This window comes from Homo sapiens, chromosome 1 (assembly GCF_000001405.40).
Source record: "Homo sapiens chromosome 1, GRCh38.p14 Primary Assembly".
Lineage (NCBI taxonomy): Eukaryota > Metazoa > Chordata > Mammalia > Primates > Hominidae > Homo > Homo sapiens.
The window spans coordinates 33035070-33056503 of record NC_000001.11 but is presented as its reverse complement, the minus strand read 5'-3'; the positions used below and the strand labels follow the sequence as shown (position 1 = coordinate 33056503).

The following is a 21434-nucleotide window of genomic DNA, read 5'->3' as shown; positions in this document are numbered from 1 at the left end:
GTCTTGCACTGTCACCCAGGCTAGAGTGCAGAGTGGCACAATCACAGATCACTACAGCCTCTACCTCCTGTGTTCAAGCAATCCTCCTGCCTCAGCCTCCCAACTAGCTGCGACTACAGGTGTGAGTCATTGCACCGGCTAATTTTTTTTTTTTTTTGAGACGGAGTCTCGTTCTGCACCGGCTAATTTTTAAAAATTTTTTTGTAGATACAGGGTCTCCCTATGTTGCCCAGACTGGTCTCAAACTCCTGGCTTTTCTCAATCAAGTAGAAGCGATCCTTCTACCTTGGCCTCCCCAAGTGCTGGGATTATAAGTGTAAGATACCGCGCCCAGCCTCACACTATCTTCCACAACCTAGCTTCAAAAGCGACATACTATCACTTCTGCTATGTTCTATTGGTCACACAGACCAACTGATATGGTGTGGCAGGGGACTACACAAGGGGGTGAATACCAGGGGGGAGGGGACTTTGAGAGCCATCTTGGAGGCCACCTACCGTAAGCAGAGACCAGTCATCCCCACTGTGCCTTGTGAAACTCCTGACCCACAGATTCCATGACCATGATGAAATGGTGATTGTGTTATACCTCGAAGTTGAGGCTGATCCGTTAGTTACACAAGCTAACTGGAACAGAGCTAACTAGGACAGTAGCTAACTGGAACAGAGCCAAAAGAATCATTCATCAGGTGTGCGGTGCCACCAGAGGGCATCTGACTTCTCCTTCCCTGATGATGTTTGCTGAGCAACTACACTTGCCAACCTGTCCTGGTGCTACGAAATAGGGGAAAGGGCATGGAGAGGGAAGGCCAAGGATGTGATCAGGTGGCAAGGAGTGGCAGAAAGATGGATTCTGAGATTTTTTCTGAGACAGGCCTGTGTCCACAGGCCCCAGGCTGGGGCTGCAGAGGGTAGATGTGATGGGGCAGCAGGCCTGCGGGGGGCAAAGAGGTGCACTGTGAAGGGTGAGCCAGAGGCCACCAGCAGAGGAGAGCAACTAGGCACCAAGCCCTTTTGCAGCGTGCTACTCCATCACCCCGTGTCTACAGATAAGGAGCTGAGCAGCTGTGATGTCTGAGAGGACAGGAACACAGACACCTCGCGAGAAGCGAAGAAGAGGTCAGCCAAGGGCCAGCAGGGGACATCTAAGGAAACAAGTCCTTTTTTTCCTTCTTGTTTCTCCCCACCAGAGGGCAGACAAGAGAGAGCAGACCCATCTCCCCTCCATGCCATAGGCCTGCCTGCTGGACTGTGAGTCCCAAAGGAGACTGACCTTCGAAAATGGAAAGACCAAGTTAATGGCTGAAACAAGAGACTGCATTAATAACTAAAAACGACTGAAAAGTTTTGGAACCAGCTGGAGATGTCATCAAGGGGGCCAAATGTCCGTCAGGAAAGGGGATGACAGATTACAGTTGGTAGAAATTATTTTTAAAAATAACTGTTAGGCCAGGTGCTGTGGTTTATGCCTGTAATCCCAACACTTTGGGAGGCTGAGGTGGGTGGATTACCTGAGGTCAGGAGTTCAAGACCAGCCTGGCCAACATGGCAAAACCCCATCTCTACTAAAAATACAAAAATTAGCTGGGTGTGGTGGCATGCACCTGTAATCCAGCTACTCAGGAGGCTGAGGCAGGAGAATCGCTTGAAACCAGGAGGCGGAGGTTGCAGTGAGCCGAGATCCCACCACTGCACTCCAGCCTGGTGACAGAGCAAGACTCCGTCTCAAAAAAAAAGAAAAAGAAAAATACAAAAATCAGCTAGAGGTGGTGGCACCCACCTGTAGTATAGTCCCAGCTACTTGGAGAGGTCGAGGCTGAAGTGAGCTGTGATCGTGCCACTGCCCTCTAGCCTGGTCAATAGGGTAAGACCCTGTCTCAAAAAAAAAAAATTTTTTTTTGTTTGACGTTTACTTTAAGATTTTGATTTTTCTCAATCAAACTTGTCCCCAGAGTTATTGTTGTTATTGTCCTTGGCTGCTCCTCTTTTATCTCATTCATTCGCTCACACATAAGCACTTATTGTATGCCAGGCACTGTATTTGGCACTGGCCCTGGGATGCTGTGATAAGCAAAACAGACTCAATCTCTGTCTTCATGGAGCTTATAATCCTCCTGGAGAGGGAGATTTTTTTTTTTCTGAGACAGAGTCTTGCACTGTTGCTTGGGCTGGAGCGCAGTGGCGCAATCTTGGCTCACTGCATCCTCCACCTCCCAGGTTCAAGCAATTCACCTTGCCTCAGTCTCCCAAGTAGCTGGGATGAAAGGCACCCGCCACCATGTCCAGCTAATATTTTTGTATTTTTTTAGTAGAAATGAGGTTTCACTGTGTTGGCCAGGCTGATTTCAAACTCCTGACCTTGTGATCCGCCCATCTCAGCCTCCCGAAATGTTGGGATTACAGGCGTGAGCCGCTGCGCCTAGCCTTTTTTTGTTTTTTTTGTTTGTTTGTTTGTTTTGAGATGGAGTCTCGCTCTATCGCCAGGCTGGAGTACAGTAGCATTATCTTGGCTCACAGCAACCTCCGCCTCCTGGGTTCAAGTGATTCTTGGGGCTCAGCCTCCCGAATAGTTGGGATTACAGGCACACACCACCAACCCAGCTAATTTTTGTATTTTTAGTGGAAACGGGGTTTCACCATGTTGGCCAGGATGGTCTCTATCTCCTGACCTCGTGATCTGCCCGCCTCAGCCTCCCAAAGTGCTGGGATTACAGGTGTGAGCCCGTCCTGAAACGTAGATATTAAATAGTTAATCGCATAAATACAGGCTATGATAAGTACAGTTAATTAGAAGTATAGCCAATTAGTCACACATCCTGTCCATTCAACTTCCATATCTCATAAGCCTTCTGCCACTTCTCTCCATCCCGGATGTCTCTGCCTTGGTTCAGGTTATTTCTTTGGCTGTGATCTGTTACCATCCAGCCCTTTCTCCACCCTTCCCCCAAGAGATCTTTCCAAAAGGTAAACTCTGTTGCACACAGCTAATTGTTCCCCAGCATCTATTCTTTTTTTTTTTTTTTTTTTAATTTATTTTTTTATTGATAATTCTTGGGTGTTTCTCACAGAGGGGGATTTGGCAGGGTCATGGGACAATAGTGGAGGGAAGGTCAGCAGATAAACAAGTGAACAAAGGTCTCTGGTTTTCCTAGGCAGAGGACCCTGCGGCCTTCCGCAGTGTTTGTGTCCCTGATTACTTGAGATTAGGGATTGGTGATGACTCTTAACGAGCATGCTGCCTTCAAGCATCTGTTTAACAAAGCACATCTTGCACCGCCCTTAATCCATTTAACCCTGAGTGGACACAGCACATGTTTCAGAGAGCACAGGGTTGGGGGTAAGGTCACAGATCAACAGGATCCCAAGGCAGAGGAATTTTTCTTAGTGCAGAACAAAATGAAAAGTCTCCCATGTCTACTTCTTTCTACACAGACACGGCAACCATCGGATTTCTCAATCTTTTCCCCACCTTTCCCGCCTTTCTATTCCACAAAGCCGCCATTGTCATCCTGGCCCGTTCTCAATGAGCTGTTGGGCACACCTCCCAGACGGGGTGGTGGCCGGGCAGAGGGGCTCCTCACTTTCCAGTAGGGGCGGCCGGGCAGAGGCGCCCCTCACCTCCCGGACGGGGCGGCTGGCCAGACAGGGGGGCCGACCCCCCCCCACCTCCCTCCCGGACGGGGCGGCTGGCCGGGCGGGGGGCCGACCCCCCCACCTCCCTCCCGGACGGGGCGGCTGGCCGGGCAGAGGGGCTCCTCACTTCCCAGTAGGGGCGGCCGGGCAGAGGCGCCCCTCACCTCCCGGACAGGGCGGCTGGCTGGGCGGGGGGGCTGACCCCCCCCACCTCCCTCCCGGACGGGGCGGCTGGCCGGGCGGGGGGCTGACCCCCCCACCTCCCTCCCGGACGGGGCGGCTGGCCGGGCAGAGGGGCTCCTCACTCCCAGTAGGGGCGGCCGGGCAGAGGCGCCCCTCACCTCCCGGACGGGGCGGCTGGCCGGGCGGGGGGCCGACCCCCCCACCTCCCTCCCGGACGGGGCGGCTGGCCGGGCGGGGGGCCGACCCCCCCACCTCCCTCCCGGACAGGGCGGCTGGCTGGGCGGGGGGCTGACCCCCCCACCTCCCTCCCGGACGGGGCGGCTGGCCGGGCAGAGGGGCTCCTCACTTCCCAGTAGGGGCGGCTGGGCAGAGGCGCCCCTCACCTCCCAGACGGGGCGGCTGGCCGGGCGGAGGGCTGACCCCCCCACCTCCCTCCCGGACGGGGCGGCTGGCCAGGCGGGGGGCTGACCCCCCTACCTCCCTCCCGGACGGGGCGGCTGGCCGGGTGGGGGGGCTGACCCCCCCATCTCCCTCCCGGACGGGGTGGCTGGCCGGGCTGAGGGGCTCCTCACTTCCCAGTAGGGGCGGCCGGGCAGAGGCGCCCCTCACCTCCCGGACGGGGCGGCTGGCCGGGCGGGGGGCTGACCCCCCACCTCCCTCCCGGACGGCACGGCTGGCCAGGCGGGGGGCTGACCCCTCCACCTCCCTCCCGGATGGCACGGCTGGCCGGGCGGGGGGGCTGACCCCCCACCTCCCTCCCGGATGGGGCAGCTGGCCGGGCGGGGGGCTGACCCCCCCCACCTCCCTCCCGGACGGGGTGGCTGCCGGGCGGAGACGCTCCTCACTTCCCAGATGGGGTGGCTGCCGGGCGGAGAGGCTCCTCACTTCTCAGACGGGGCAGCTGCCGGGCGGAGGGGCTCCTCACTTCTCAGACGGGGTGGTTGCCAGGCAGAGGGTCTCCTCACTTCTCAGACGGGGCGGCCGGGCAGAGACGCTCCTCACCTCCCAGACGGGGTCTCGGCCGGGCAGAGGCGCTCCTCACATCCCAGATGGGGCGGCGGGGCAGAGGCGCTCCCCACATCTCAGACGATGGGCGGCCGGGCAGAGACGCTCCTCACTTCCTAGATGTGATGGCGGCTGGGAAGAGGCGCTCCTCACTTCCTAGATGGGATGGCGGCCGGGCGGAGACGCTCCTCACTTTCCAGACTGGGCAGCCAGGCAGAGGGGCTCCTCACATCCCAGACGATGGGCGGCCAGGCAGAGACACTCCTCACTTCCCAGACGGGGTGGCGGCCGGGCAGAGGCTGCAATCTCGGCACTTTGGGAGGCCAAGGCAGGCGGCTGCTCCTTGCCCTCGGGCCCCGCGGGGCCCGTCCGCTCCTCCAGCCGCTGCCTCCCGGGCGGCGCTCGCCGGCGCGGCGGCAAAGACTGAGACAGCTCCGCTGCCCGCTGAACTCCATCCTCCCGGCGGTCGGGCGGCGGCGGCTGCGGTCGGTCACGGCAGCGGCTCCGCTTCATATCTGCAGCTGGGGCCCGCGGGCGTCAGCGCCGCGACTGTCCCGGCTCCGCACTGCCCCGGGCCGCAGCGCAGCCGCGCCAACCACCACCCGCGGCCACCATGGCCGGACGGGCTCCCTAAGCCACCGACCCCAGCCCGCGGCGCCTTCGAGCCTTCTGGGGCCTCCGGCGCCGCGACCTCCTCTGCTAGTCTTTTTAAATGTTAATGCTCTCCCTATTCTTCCTTTAGTAATAGAGCCTCTACCTGTTGGCTAGGCATATGTCTGTCCAGAATAAAAGCTATGTTTCCCAGTACCCCGGCTGCTAGTCGTGGCATTGTAACTAAGTTCCGGTCAGTGCAATGAGAATGAAAGTAACAGGTGCAATTCCAGGTTATGCCTTTAGAGGGAAGGGGGGCATCCCCCACTGCCCCATTACTCCTTCCTGCTGGCTGAAATGCAGAAGTGATGGTAGGAGCTGGAGCTGCCCTTTTGGACCACAGGAAGGAAGCCGCATGTTGATGTCAAACCAAGGAGACAGAAAAAGCCAGGGTTCCCTGATGGTAGAGCCACCATATCCACTGCCCCTTGCCTGCCAGGGTTTTGACATAAGCAAGAAGTAAGCACCTATCTTGTCTAAGTCATTGTTATTTTGGAGTCTCTGCTATAGTAGCTGAGTCTGTTTCCTAACCACAGTAGTTTCCTATTATCCAGTTTCCCTTTCTGCACTTTCACTTACCAAAGGACAAATGTGATCCAAAAATATTACATGGGAAAATTCCAGAAATAAACAATTCATAAGTTGTAAATTGCATGCTTTTATGAGCAGCATGATGAAATCTGGAGCCATCTCACCCAGGATGTGAATCATCCCTTTGTCCAGCGTATCCATGCTGTATACACCACCCACCAGCTAGTAGCTTAGTAGCGGTCCTATTTATCAGATCAACAGATCACAAGAAGGGTGAGCAGAGCACAATAAGATATTTTCAGAGAGATAAAGGGATTACATTCACATAATTATAGTGTATTGCTGTAATTGTTTTATTATTAGTTATTGTTATTAATCTCTTGCTGTGCCTAATTTATAATTTTTTTTTCTTTTTGAGGCAAGGTCTCATTCTGTCGCCCAGGATGGAGGGCAGTGGCACAATCACAGCTTACTGCAGCCTCAACCTCCTAGGCTCAAGCAATCCTCCCACTTAAGCCTCCCGAGTAGCAAGCACTACAGGTCCACACCACCATGCCTGGCTAATTTTTGTGTTTTTTGTAGAGATGTGGTTTCACCATGTTGCCCAGGCTAGTCTCGAACTCTTTACCTCAAGCGATCCTCCCTCCTCAGCCTCCCAAAGTGCTGGGATTATAGGTGCGAGCCACTATGCCTGGCCCTAATTTATAAATTAAATGTTAGGCCGGGCGTGGTGGCTCACACCTGTAATCCCAGCACTTTGATTCCCTCCACAAGGATTTCCTCACAGGCCATGTCTAATGTGTAGCATTTCCCAGCTGAGGGCGTTTTTGTTGCTGTTAATATCATACGCCTTTTCTTGGAAGCTGGCGACTTTTATGGAAATCGGAATTTCGCCACAGTGACCTCAAAACAGTAGTAGAAAGGCTTTGCTTGTTCAGGTGGCTTGGACTTAGCCAGTTCTTTAGAAAACCACATCTCATGGTTGTGGTTTGGTTGACAAAGGAACAGGAAGCATGTTACAAAAATTGGGAAGCGGTCCTAGGTCAAGTGGGCTGTGAAGCCCAAAAAAAGACACAGGAGAGATGCACGCTGCCAGGTAGGGGGGAGTTGGTCTGTGTAGGTAACTGGAACTTAAAGTCCACAAACCCCCTGGAACTCAGTCTACATCTCTACTGACCAAGGTAAGTAGGTCTTGGCATACTCAGCAAGAGCTTCCTGTCCAGCCTCTTTGTCTGGCCCTCACGAGGGATAGAACAGTTAGGATGCATGAGGTTTTGCTTTAGAAGAAACAACTGGGGAAAATTTAAGCTACTGGACCTCTGTAGCTTAAAAATAACAAAATAAGGCTGGGCGCAGTGGCTTATGCCTGTAATCCTAGCACTTTGGGAGGCCAAGGTGGGTGGATCACCTGAGGTCAGGAGTTCGAGACCAGCCTGGCCAACATGGCAAAACCCCGTCTCTACTAAAAACACAAAAATTAGCCAGGCATGGTGGCGCATGCCTGCAGTCCCAGCTACTCAGGAGGCTGAGGCAGGAGAATTGCTTTAACCCGGGAGGCGGAGGTTGCAGTGAGCTGAGATAGTGCCACTACACTCCAGCCTGGGTGACAGAGCAAGACTCCATCTCAAAAAAATAAAAAATAAAAATAAATAAAACCCTTGCTCATACTACCTGCTCATTTGGATTGACTAGGGGGCTCTGCTGCAGGTGGTTTGTCTCTCAGGGACCTAGTCTGGTGGAGGTTCCATCTCAACAGTCTGCCATGACTGCTGAGGTGAAAAGAACATGTGAATCCTGCCCTGGCTCTCAAAAGCTTCTCCCTTGAATTGTCATGCACGCTACTTCTGTTCTCATTTCACTGGCCAGTGCAAGTCATATGCCCTCACCCAAGTTCAACAGAACAGAAACAAATAATCCTTTCACAGCAAGAGACATCAAATATTTGTGGAAAACAGTACAGTCTGCCACAAAAGAAAATGCTGTGTGGTGGGAGACTTCACCGGCTGTGTGATTTCAAGCAAGCCAATTAACCATGCCGAGTTAAGCCTCAGTTTCCCCATGCATCAAGTAGGGATATAATAGTTCTGGCAAATTAGCCAGGTGTGGTGGTGTGCACCTGTAGTCCCACCTACTCAGGAGGCTGAGGCAGGGGAATCACTTGAACCTGAGAGGCAGAGATTGCAGTGAGCCAAGATCATGCCACTGCATTCCAGCCTGGATACAGAGCAAGACTCCATCTCAAAAAAAAAAGAAAAAATAGTTTTGACATAGCAAGTGTATTGTGATGACTCAGTGAGATTGTATGTAGAGATCTGATCACAGGGCTTGGTACCAATCCTTGCTCAATAAATGGTAACTTTTAAAAATTAATCGGTGGAGAACTCTGATCACCACAGGCAAGAGTAAAATAAAAGTCACTTCCTTCAGCTGAAACTGCTCTCATGTTAAAGGGCAAACTCCTTGAGGCCAATTCCAAGGGATTTTTCTCAGTCCTCACCTTTGACTCCGCCAGGAAGGAAGATTGTGCTATTGTTCATGAATATTCCCTGCCTCACCTACTGAGTGCCTCTCAGTGGAAGAAGTACATTCCTGGCCCCATTGACTGCAGCTTGTCCATGAGACTTGCTTTGACAAGTACAATGTAAGTGCATGTGACCTGTAGCATTTCCATGGCCTGTGCCATTTCTAGGCAGAAGGTTTAAGGGCCAACAAGAGATCCCATCATTTTCCTTTTTTCCAGTCCTGTGCTAGTAAACATTTAACAACTGGCTCTTCTAGAGGGAAAATATTTGCCACATTCTGTAGTATATGTACTTCCACCATAACTGATTTCAAGCTACCAATGTGACATTACTGAGCACAAAGTTGGGAAGAGATATACACTATCAGCTTTCTCTAATGCAAGTTATACCAGCATACCAGTGTACCTTTTCCCTCTCTTCCAAGAACCGAACCTTCAGCCTGCATCACCTGCAGCTAACATGTAACCCTTTCTGTAAGCTGATATTTTGGGGTTATTTGTCGCTGCAATATAACTTAGCTGAAGCTGACTAATACACTCCCAGAAACTTTTTATTTGGCTTTGGTAACACTCCTTCTTCATCATTTCTATCAATAAACACTAATCAGTGTCCCACTACATATGAGAGACAACATAGCATAGTGGTTAATAGAATAGACTGGAGAGGCAGACTGGAGAAGCTTTACTCACAGTTTCCAAGTGTCTGGAAGTAACTATAAAGGCCTAATTTGCATATCAACTGGGAACTCCTGGAAATGAGAGTGTCTCCAAGAGATATATTTGATGCATGTCCAGAGAATTCCTGAATGAAAGAATCTGGGATTGTCAAGCTGATATCATGAACCCCACATTTAACAGAGTTAAGTGAAGAGATGGGACAAAGGCCAGGCTTGGGAAGGAAGGAAAGATCAACAAAGGCCTTACAGGGCAGATAAAAATTGATAGAATGGGCTGAGGGCATTGGCTCATGCTTGTAATCCCAGCACTTTGGGAGGCCGAGGTGGGTGGATCACTTGAGTCAGGAGTTCAAGACCAGCCTGGCCAACATGTGAAACCTCGTCTCTACTAAAAATATAAAAATTAGCCGAGTCTGTTGGTGGGCACCTGTAATCCTAGCTACTTGGGAGACTAAGGCAGGAGAATCGCTTGAACCCAGGAGGCAGAGGTTGCAGTGAGCTGAGATCGAGCCACTGCACTCCAGCCTGGGCAACAGAGTGAAACTCTGTCTCAAAAAAAAAAAAGGGGAAAGAAAAAGAAAAAGAATGTGGTGGCCGTGCACGGTGGCTCATGCCTGTAATCCCAGCACTTTGGGAGGCTAAGGTGGGGGATCATCTGAGGTCAGGAGTTCAAGACCAACCTGGCCAACATGGTGAAATCCCACCTCTACTAAAAATACAAAAATTAGCCAGGCATGGTAGCAGGCACCTGTAATCCCAGCTATTCAGGAGGCTGAGGCAGGAGAATTGCTTGAACCCCGGAGGCAGAGGTTGCAGTGAACCAAGGTCACACCACTGCACCCCAGCCTGGACAACAGAGTGAGACTCCGTCTTAAAAAAAAAAAAAAAAAAGGATGTGGTGGGTAGAATGAAATTTCAGGTTTTCTTCTTTAGTCTCTAGTCATTCTCTGATTCCTTTCCCCTCAAGTGTTGGCTTCCCAGCTTTTAGTCGTCATTCTTCTCTCCTCTCTACCCTCCCACAAAACAAGCTCATCTCCTCTATGTCTTTGACGCAGGTAGTAATAGTTAACATTTACTGAGTGCTTACCATGAGTAGGGCACCGTGCTAAGTACTTTACATCCATTATGTAATCTGATACTCACTGTGATCCTGTGAAGTGGGTATCGGCATCCTGATTTTGCAAAGAGAAATTGAGGCCCAGCAGGGTTAAGTTACTTGCCATGTCACATAAGGTGCTTTGGGCAGTGAGTATCAGAATGCCGACATAGATGCGGTTTGAACATTAGGGGTTTATCTCTCATCACAGGAAGTGTGGAAGAAGGTGACATCTGAGTTGCTTAATTCAGCAGCTCAGTGATGTCAGACCCTAGGTCAGCTTCCCTCTGAGTCTCGCAGCTCTCCCCTCCTGGTCCCAAGATAGCTGCTACATTTCAAGCGCTGCATCATCCCTGAGGCAGGCAGGAAGGGAGTTTTTCTTCTTGTGCATCTCTTTTTCCTGGAAAGCAAAGCCTCCCACAAAAGCCCCCAAGAGAATTTCCCATAGGACCCTGTCTCCTCTCCCCCTTTTTTCTTTCCTTACCCTCTTGAGTTGTAACTCCAGCCAGACTGACCCTCTTTCAACTCTGTACCAAACAGAAGTCTTGGTGGCTAACCTAAGCAGTGAAGGAATTTATTGAATACTGTGAGGTTTTCACCAATTCCAAACATGAGTAGGAACCAAAAGTAATTAGGCTAAGAACACAGCCAAAGACATGGCACAGGAAAAGCCTACCTGGACAGCCACCACTGGCCACGGTCCACCCACTGAGGCTGGACTCTTACCTCCCCACCAAGAACAGGCCCTGCCCCTTCCTCTCTCTCCCTCAAGAGTCAAAGTCCTGGGCAGGACATCCCACTGGCCAAGCCTGGTCACGTGCTCACTCCCCTGTTGCCAAGAAGGCAGGCAAGAGTCTGCCCTTTCAGCTTCTGCAGGGTGGCTCTGTTTTCCCCCAAGTTCCTTGCAGTGAAGGATTTCCACAACACAAGAGGGGTGTTCCTCTGCCAAATATCACAGTTCCCCTCAACTTTCTATAATATTTCTTTTTTTTTTTTGGAGATAGGGTCTTGCTCTATCCCTCAGGCTGGAGTGCAGTGGCATGATCTTGGCTCACTGAAACCTCCGCCTCCCAGGTTCAAGTGATTCTCATGCCTCAGCCTCCCGAGTAGCTGGGATCACAGATGCTCGCCACCATACCTGGCTAATTTTTGTATTTTTAGTAGGGATGGGGTTTCACCATGTTGGCCAGGCTGGTCCTGAACTCCTGACCTCAGGTGATCTGCCCACCTCGGCCTCCCAAAGTGTTGAGATTACAGGCATGAGCCACCACGCCCAACCTCTTGTCATAATCTTTCTTAACTCCAGGCCTTTGCACATGCCATTCCCTTTGTCTAGAATACCCTTCTTCCCTCTCTTCCCTAAGCAAATCCTCCTTGTTCTTAAGGTTTCATCTCACTTACACATCATTTCCCCTCAAATCTGAGCTGGGGGCTCCTCTATTGTGCTGTTACTGAAGCCTGTACCTTTCCCAGCACAGACTCCGTCAATGTCTTATTTGTTGTTTTTTTTGTTTTTTTCCCCCGCTTGACTGCAAGTTCTGTAGAAGTGGAGAGTTTTCTTTTCTTTTCTTTTTTTTTTTTTGAGATGGGGTCTTGCTCTGTCACCCAGTCTAGAGTGCAGTGGCACAGTCTCAGCCCACTACAACCTCTGCCTCCTAGGTTCAAGTGATTCTCCTGCCTCAGCCTCCTAAGTAGCTGGGATTACAGGCACATGCCACCACACCTGGCTAATTTTGGTATTTTTAGTAGAGACAGGGTTTCACCATGCTGGCCACGCTGGTCTTAAACTCCTGACCTCAGGTGATCTGACCGCCTCGGCCTCCCAAAGTGCTGGGATTACAGGTGTGAGCCACTGCGCCCAGCCCGAAGTGGAGAGTTTTCTAAAGGTGGAAACCTTGCTTTTGTTTTGTTTTTAGAGACAGGGTCTCGCTCTGTCACCTGGGCTGGAGTACAATGGGCTAATTATAGTTTATGGCAGCCTCAACCTCCTGGCAGCAAGTGATTCCCACACTTCAGCCTCCCAAGTAGCTAGTGTAAGAGTTAAGAAAGAAGAAAGAAACACGAAACGTGACTTAACCCCTTAAAGACAAGCTTATTTTAGAGAAAAAATAAGGAGTGCTTTCTCTTACAGAGATATATATTGGTTTTAGGGTGAGGGGGCTTATTACAAGCTTGGAATGTTTATGTGTTGGGGAGAAGTTTATGGCGGGATTGGAATGTTCTGGGCAGAGGGGAGGTTATCTTGAGGCTGACATCTTTTCAGCAGGTGTGGGGTTATATTCAGGGCTGGCATCTTCCCAGCTGGAGGGGGGTTATTTCGGGGCTAGCATGTCTCTGGTTGAGGAGGAGTTTGGAATGTTTCTGGTTGGAGATGTTATTTGTGGTTTATGGTCATGCTGACCTAAGCCATTAGGCTGATGCCCTTTGGATTTAGACGGTTTTTGATTAAGGTGAATTTTAAAATGGCCGTGCTTGTCCAAGATGGTGATACTCCTGCTCTATCAGCTAGAACCAAAGGTGCATACCACCACACCGGGCTAATTTTTTAAATTTTTTCTGGGGTTCTCACAAATTTCAAACATGAGTAGAAACCAAAAGCAATTAGGCTAAGAACACAGCCAAAGACATGGTACAGGAAAAGACTACTTGGACAGACATGACTGGTCATTGTCCACCCACTGCTGCTGGACTCTCACCTCCCCGCCAAGAACAGACCCTGCCCCTTCCTTTCTGTCCCTCAAGGGTCAAAGTCCCAGGCAGGACCTCCCACTGCTCAAGCCCAGGCCATGTTGCCCAGGCTGATCTCAAACACCTGGCCTCAAGCAATTCTCCCACCTCGGCCTCCCAAAGTGTTGAAATTACAGGCATGAGCCACTGTGCCTAGACCGACCCTGGCCTCATTATTTACCACTGGATCCTTAGCATCTAGCACAATACTAGACACATAATAAATGCTCATTAAATGCATGTTGAATGAATCAGCTAATGAATGAATGAGATGAATACTAATGGCACCATCATCCCCCCCAGTCGCTTGGCCCCTCAACTCAGTCATTCTTATCCCCATCTGGTCTGGTGTCAAGTCCCATTAATTCTACCTCCATAGTCTAGGCCTGCATTTTCTTTCTCCTGGGCCTTTGCAATAGTTCCCTGCAGAGGACATCTGTTGTTTCTGCCTGCTCAGTATCTCTTTCTTATTTTGGAAACTGCCACAATTTGCTTCTGGGAAACTACTTCTTCCATTCTCTGTAGTCTGGAGGGAACTGTCAATTAAGGTCCTTTACACCATTGCCAAGGGATGAACAGGAGATCCAAGCCAAGCCAGAAATTAATGTCTTGAGCAGAATGACAGATATAGAAACTGGTTGGAACTGAGTCATTTAAATCATAGCATCCATAAGAAATTGTTTGTTGGGTTTTGGGGTGGTCTCACCCACGTTTAGACCCAAATGAGGGGATAACCACAGAAATAAGGCACAGGGAGATCAGAATATCACTCTTTTTACTGACAAAGCTGCTTGACATATGCATTTACTGAGAGAAAAGTGGGGTTATGAATTCTGGACCCCCAAGTTAAACTTTTCCTCCTGATCCCAGGCAGTGCTAGAAAATCATCATAGCCCTCTTTTCTCTTTCTTTTTTTTTCTTTTTTTTTTTTTTTTGAGACAGAGTTTCACTCTTGTTGCCCAGGCTGGAGTGCAATGGCACAGTCTCAGTTTACGGCAACCTCCGCCTCCCGAGTTCAAACGATTCTCCTGCCTCAGCCTCCCGAGCAGCTGGGATTACAGGTGCCCGCCACCACGCCCAGCTATTTTTTTGTATTTTTAGTAGAGACAGGGGTTCACCATTTTGGCCAGGCTGGTCTCAAACTCCTGACCTTAGGTGAACCACCCACCTCAGCCTCCCAAAGTGCTGGGATTATAGGTGTGAGCCACCGTGTCCGGCCTCTTCTTTTTTTTAGATGGAGTCTCGCTCTGTCACCCAGGCTGGAGTGCAAGTGGCACAATCTCGGCTCATTGTAACCTCCACCTCCTTGGTTCAAGGGATTCTCGTGCCTCAGCCTACTGAGTAGCTGGGATTACAGGTGCCCGCCACCACGCCCAGCTAATTTTTGTATTTTTAGTAGAGATGGGGTTTCATCATGTTGGCTAGGCTGGTCTTGAACTCCTGACCTCAAATGATCCGCCCACCTCAGTCTCCCAAAGTGCTGGGATTACAAGCGTGAGCCACTGTGCCTGACCAATCATAGTCCTCTCTGGGAGGGCTAGACTGTGGGAAATGTATTAATAGAACATGGAGGAAGAGGGCAAAAAATCGTGCTTCTTAAGGGCAGGCACATTTGAAAGAGAAAAAAGGAGGAAGAGCTGAGTTGTGCTCAGTTCATTCTTCCCATACTCACTAATGAGATACAGGTTGAGTATCCCTAATCCAAAGTGCTTGGGACCAGCAGTATTTCAGATTTTGGATCATTTTCAGATTTTGGAATATTTGCATATACTTAATGAGATATCTTGGGGATGGGAACCAAGTCTAAATATAAATTCATTTATGTTTTATATAGACCTTATACACATAACCTGAAGGTAATTTTATACAATATTTTTAATAATTCTGTGCACAAAACCAAGTTTGTGTATACTGAATCATGGGAAAACAAAAGTGTCACTTAGACACCCCTCTGGAAAATCTGTGGTTGTTCGGCGTCACCATCATTCATGACTCTGAATTTATATGCTGTATCATTTTTCTTACACTTATTCACATTTATCAGTTAAAAAAAAAGACCATTAATACAGTGAAAAAGTAATGTGTTCAGGGTAAGTAAGCAGCATAGTAGCATCATCAAAATAATACCTGGAGATGCTGAAAAAACTGTGTTGTATGTCTGTGTTTTGACTGCAACCTGTCACGTGAGGTCAGGTGTGGATTTTTGTCTTTTTTCTTTTTTTTTTTTTCAGAGACAAGGTTGCTCTGTCACTCAGGCTGCAGTGCAGTGACACCATCATACCTGGCTGTAGCCTTGAACTCCTGGGCTCATGCAATCCTTCCACCTCAACCACAGTGGCACAATCATACCTGGCTGCAGCCTTGAATTCCTGGACTCAAGCAATCTTTCCACCTCAACCTCCCAAGTAGCTGGGACTACTGGAGTGCACCATCATGCCTGGCTAATTTTATTATTAGTAGAGACCAAGTCCAGGCTGGTCTCAAACTCCTGGCCTCAGGCAATTCTCCCACCTCAGCCTCCCAAAGCGCTGGGATTACAGGTGAGAGCCACCACACCACCTGTTAGTGTGGAATTTTCTTTCTTTCTTTCTTTCTTTTTTTTTGATACGGAGTCTCGCTCTGTAGCCCAGGCTGGAGTGCAGTGGCGCAATCTTGTCTCACTGCAACCTCTGCCTCCCAGGTCCTGGTTCAAGCAATTCTCCTGCCTCAGCCTCCCAAGTAGCTGGGATTACAGGCATGCGCCACCATGCCCAGCTAAGTTTTCTATTTTTAGTAGAGATGGGGTTTTGCCATGTTGGCCAGGCTCATCTCGAACTCCTGACTTCAGGTGATCCGCCCGCCTTGGCCTCCCAAAGTGTTATAGGCGTGAGCCACCACACCTGGCCTACTTATTCCTTATATCTAGATTACCCAACGCAGCCCTGGCTCCTATCACTTCCAAGGCCTGTGGTTGTACAACTGAATCCTCTCAGCGAATTTTGTTTTTGCTTGATGTAGCTAGAGTCTGTTTCTATTGCTTGTATCCAAAGAATATGTACTAGTTTCCTATGGCTGCTAGTTTCCAATTACCACAAACTTGGTGGTCTATATGAACGGAAATTTATTACCTTAAAGTTTTGGAGGTCAGGAGTTCAAAATAGGTCGTATGGGGCTAAAATCAAAATATCTTCAGGGTCATGTTCCTTTGGAGACTCTAGGGGAGAACCCATTTCCTTGCCTTTTCTGACTTCAGAGGCTACCATCATTTTGTAACTGAAAAGCAGGTTAGTTGCTCACAACATTCAGAGTCCAGTTAAAAAGAGCAAGGTCTGGGACGAAAAAATGAATTTATTTTGAAGCTAGCTTGTGGAAATGGCACGAAGCATCCTGCCTTAAATGTGCCACTTCCCTTTTGGAGCAGAAAGCGGGCCTTTTATAAGGTGGTGGGAGGAAGTAAGCAGGGGGAGGGCGTCTCCGTTAGCTCTGGTGGCTTAACTGCTGGGCAGTTGACTTAGTGCCTTCCTGGGCAGAAGTAAGTTATAAAAGTGGCCAAGTGGACACGCTTTCAACATTCCCTCTTGGTAGGTGTGAGTTCGAAGCAATCCCCCAGAGGGTAGAAGTTCCAAGGTGAAAGTTCCCTAGCGGGCATGCTTTGCTCTGTTAACTTTCCAAGAATTAGATGAACTTGCCTTGAAGGGAGTGTCTGGTGAAGAAGTTGGTAAAATTTCTTCTTTAGAAATTCAAAGAAATTCAAAGATTAAATCAGAAGTGGGAGCAGGAAGAAAGGAGAAGAGAAAATAAATTTTAAAAGGAACTGGCCGGACACGGTGGCTCACTCCTGTAATCCCAGCACTTTGGGAGGCCCGAGACAGGCGGATCACCGGAGGTCAGGAATTTGAGACCAGCCTGGCCAACATGGTGAAACCCCATCTCTACTGAAAATACAAAAGTTAGCCGGGGGTGGTAGGGGCGCCTGTAATCCCAGCTATTCACGAGGCTGAGGCAGGAGAATCTCTTGAACCCAGGAGGCGGAGGTTGCAGTGAGCAGAGATTGCACCACTGCACTCCAGCCTGGGTGACAGAGTGCGGCTCCTTCTCAAAAAAGAAAAAAAAAAGACTTAACTTGTGATTCATTACACTTCAAAGTGTATTGAATAAATCTTACACTTTGTGTCTTTATGGATAGTCTTCCTTACTTTCCCTCCTGGGAGCCCTAAGTCTTGTCACAATCACTATAGGGATTGATGGTAGAAAGGGAAGGCTGCTCCTACTCCCCTTGCCTGGTCCCTGTGCATAGAAAATTTCAATAAACTCTGGTCTTATTGGACTGAAGTGAATTTTGGCCACAGAGAGGCTTCCTGCAGCTTGTTTTCCCATCCCTCTGCCCATAAGCCCTGTAATCTCTAGGGCACCTGCTTGTCATCCTCAGTTGTTTTTGTTTTTGTTTTCAGAGTCTTGCTCTGTCACCCAGCCTGGAGTGTAGTGGTGCCATCTCAGCTCACTGCAACCTCCACCTCCCGGGTTCAAGCGATACTCCTGCCTCAGCCTCCCTAATAGCTGGGATTACAGGCATGCGCCACCACACTGGGCTAATTTTTTTGTAATTTTAGTAGAGACGGGGTTTCGCCATGTTGGCCAGGCTGGTCTCGAACTCCTGACCTCAGGTGATCTGCCCCCCCCTCAGGCTCTCAAAGTGCTGGGATTACAGGCGTGAGTCACTGGACCTGGCTCATCCTCAGTCTTAATTGTGAGTCTGCTACTGTGTGACTTTGGTCACTACGTATCTTCAGGCCTCAGCTTCCATTCTGAATAATAGACATAACAATCCTTTCTTCCTTCAATGTCATTGGGAGTATCCAACAAGATTAAGCAGGTACACTGTAAAAGTCCAGCGTGGCGATGAGAAATGAATGTTGACTTCTGTGTGGTAAGGAAGAGACCACAGCTGGGCTGGGCACAGTGGCTCACGCCTGTAATCCCAGCACTTTGGGAGGCCCAGGCGCGCGGATCACGAGGTCAGGAGATCAAGACCATCCTGACTAACACGGTGAAATCCCGTGTCTACTAAAAGTATAAAAAAAATTAGCCAGGCGTGGTGGTGGGCACCTATAGTCCCAGCTACGCAGGAGGCTGAGGCAGGAGAATGGCGTGAACCCAGGAGGTGGAGCTTGCAGTGAGCCGAGATCGCGCCACTGCACTCCAGCCTGGGCAACAGAGCGAGACCACGTCTCAAAAAAAAAAAAAAAAAGAAGAGACCACAGCTGAAGGGATAGCAAATTCATCATCAAGATGTAGAAAATGAGTTGTTAGGAGCCTGTGGGGAAACATAATCGTTTCATTACACACTCTTAACTAAAGGTCCAAAGAGGCCCTTGGAGCTGGATGAAACTTTCACACACCAAAAAGCTGTAGAAATTATTTCCCTATCCAAGAGGGTCATCTCTTTTGAGAAAAACTATCTTTTCCTGACTTTAAAAGGTTAACGTTTTTCTTAATATAAAGGTAAAACTTGTTTTAAACTTAAGTTTTTAAACTTATTAAGAATTTACCATAGAACTTTAAAAAATCTATTAAAATATACAAAGGAGAGGTGCTCCTCTAATCACACTACACAGCGGTCTACACTTGTAATAAACAAAATCGGGATTTTTTGGGGGGGGAGTGGGACGGAGTTTCACTCTTGTTGCCCAGGCTGGAGTGTAATGGCTCAATCTTGGCTCACTGTAACCTCCGCCTCCTGGGTTCAAGCAGTTCTCCTGCCTCAGCCTCCCAAGTAGCTGGGATTACAGGCATATGCCACCACTCCCAGCTAATTTTGTATTTTCAGTAGAGATGGGGTTTCATCATGTTGGTCAGGCTGGTCTCGAACTTCTGACCTCAGGTAATCCGCTCGCCATGGTCTCCCAAAGTGTGGGGATTACAGGCGTGAGCCACCGCGTCCGGCCAAAATTCGGATTTTGTTGTAACTGCAATTTTGTATCTCGCTTTGCTAACATTTTCCCGCATGATTAAATTATCTTATACAACAGGGGTATTCCAGGATACAAATTGGTTGCAATTTATTTAACCAATCTCTTATTGTTGGACATTTGGAGTATTGCCTTTATTTTATGGTTTTTCTCGGGCTTTTGGGCTAAGTGTTGCAATTAACAACTTTGTTACACGAATCTTTACTCATATCCTTGATTTTATCCATTGAATTCGTGGAAGTGGAATTGCTGGACCAAAGGGTATTTGAAACATATTACTAATTTGTCTTCTAAGAGTGATTTTACCCATTTAAACTCCCACGCGCAATTTAATAGGATTTCAATGTTGTTGCTGGTGTCGTCAACTGTCAAATGCCGAAGTATACCTTCCGGCCTGACCTCCTGTCCTCCTTCGCGTTTTCCCGCCCACTCCGCACACCCGCCACCCTTAGTACATGCTGGCCCGCCCCTTCCTTATCCCGCACCAATTCTGTCCAATCAAAAGCAAAGTTCCTCAGTATCGCCGTGCAGTTGGTAAGGTGAAGAGTCCGTCGTGCTCAGGGGCGGGCGGAACGGGCTGACGGACGCGGCTATGGGCCAGTGTGAGCGGCGAGTGGGACGTGCGTGGCGTGCGTGCGTTGACCTGGGAAGCACTGGACCTGTGAGGCGTGCGAACTGGTGGCAGTGAGAGACTTCGGCGGACATGGCTCCCAGCGTGCCAGCGGCAGAACCCGAGTATCCTAAAGGCATCCGGGCCGTGCTGCTGGGGCCTCCCGGGGCCGGTAAAGGGACCCAGGTGAGCGGCAGGACTGGGCTTGGCGGCGGAGCCTGCTGAACTCCAAGGTCAAGGCGGCCGGAGATCTAGAAGCCCTGGACCTGCCCGGAGCGGGCCGGGGACTAAGGCCTGCGGGGAACGCTGGCCGGGGTCTCGGTTCTGGTGGGGCATTTCGGAGAGGGTCCAAATTGGAGGTCGGGGCAGTCTGAGTTAGGATTGGAGTGCCCGAGGGATTCAGTGTTGAAGTGTTGGGTTAGGGAATGTGAGGGCTGATTAATTCCACTAAGGGTCTAGAGACTGGAAAGGTTTGAGGGGTAGAGTGAGCCCTGGGCCGAGGCATCTAGATTACAGGCTGAATGGAGGCAATTAGCTTTATGGCCCAGGTTACCTGCGAGTTGGAGGTGAATTGTCCAGAATCAGGGTTACATTCCAGGCACTGGAGGTCGGGAGATTTTGATAATGATTTATGACTTAGGGGGAGGGGAGGAGAAGCATCTCCAACACGTGGGGCAGAGTGAGAGGTGACATGTGCTGTGTGAGCCAGTTGAATTGAGATGGGAGGAAACCTAAGGCTCTCCCTGTTTGAAAGTTGGGGGTGAATGTGTAGAACTGGTTTATAGCCTGGAGACCCATGAGTCGCAACCTTTGAGTAGTGTCCACAATAAGGGTTGGGAGTGCTCATGGGACCTGGCTTGGAGTTAGGACCTGAGGCTACTGAAGGCTAAGCAGCTTGGGATGACGCAAATGATTTTAGATGAAAAGGAACTTGAATTTTTTTTTATTTTGTTTTTATTATTTTTGTTTGTTTGTATCTTCCTTCCCTTTGGTTTTTATTTATTTTTTCCTTTTTTTATTTTGTTGTTGTTTATAGGGAACTTGAAATTTTAACTTTATCAATCAACAGGTTAAAAAACAGGCCCAGAAAGGTCAGGTGGCTTTCCCAAATTAGTGAAATGAGTTTCATGAGCCTGAGACCTCAGGAACCATGGAGTTAGAGTCTGAAGTTACCATCTGCCCTAGCAGGCAACAGGGGCCTCACTTGGGATCTGGGCCCCTTCTAGATCTGGGACATAATGGGGCCATAGATTAGGGTTGGGATCGATGATCTCATTTCGGATTTGGAAGCCCGCAGGTTGGATTATTGATGTCCCCTTCTTGCTTGGGGTCTGGCATTGCACCTGGGGCCCTAAGCCTCTGGCTCTTGCCTGTTGTTAGGCTTCAAAGAGGGAAGTCTGAGCTCCCAAATGAAAGGGAATCTGAGGACTGCCCTGTGCCCGCTTTTCTCTTCCTAGCACTTGCCAAGTTTTAAAAATCTTGGCAAACAGACCATCTTACTCATTCTTGGTACCCCTTGTGGCACCTAGCACATTACTTGGCCCTTGATGGGGTTAGTGGAAGTGGATGAATGTCACAGATTAATGTGGGTGATAAAGAAAGAAGTTCTGGAACACTCCATTCATTCCTGTGACCTGGGCACTAAGTCAGAAAATACAGCTTTCTTTTCTCTCCACAGACTGAGATGATTCTTCTTTGGAGCTTACCTGTACCTGATCCCTTTATCCTTTATCCTCAGCGTTGTTGACATCTCTTTCCTGTTGCTGCCACACTCATTTATTGGGTAATCTGCAGCTTAGGGAAGTTTAATCTTAGACTCTGCAGACTTTTGCTGTGAGTGATCAAGTATAAA

The 21434-nt window shown here is 49.5% G+C and overlaps 1 protein-coding gene across 9 annotated transcripts in view, besides 2 other annotated features; it reads left to right on the top strand.

Moving 5' to 3' along the window:
• Positions 1082-1376: an enhancer, noted in NCBI's record as "tiled region #15304; HepG2 Activating DNase unmatched - State 4:PromP, and K562 Activating DNase unmatched - State 8:EnhW". NCBI's record gives its function as "activates a minimal TATA promoter and a strong SV40 promoter by Sharpr-MPRA in HepG2 and K562 cells {active_cell/tissue: HepG2 | K562}" and the evidence as "EXISTENCE:reporter gene assay evidence [ECO:0000049][PMID:27701403]".
• Positions 19621-21434, top strand: part of AK2 (adenylate kinase 2) — a 28944-nt gene continuing 27130 nt past the window's right edge. For all 9 annotated transcript variants that reach the window (NR_134976.3, NM_013411.5, NM_001319142.3 and 6 more), the window contains exon 1: positions 19621-19768. Coding sequence is in view for 6 of the 9 variants with exons in the window: in NM_013411.5 (NP_037543.1) it covers positions 19676-19768 (93 nt within the window). In the remaining 3 variants the exon portion in view is untranslated. The remainder of the gene's footprint in view (positions 19769-21434) is intronic.
• Positions 19643-19802: an enhancer, noted in NCBI's record as "active region_705". NCBI's record gives its function as "activates an Ori minimal core promoter by ATAC-STARR-seq in GM12878 lymphoblastoid cells {active_cell/tissue: GM12878}" and the evidence as "EXISTENCE:reporter gene assay evidence [ECO:0000049][PMID:35858748]".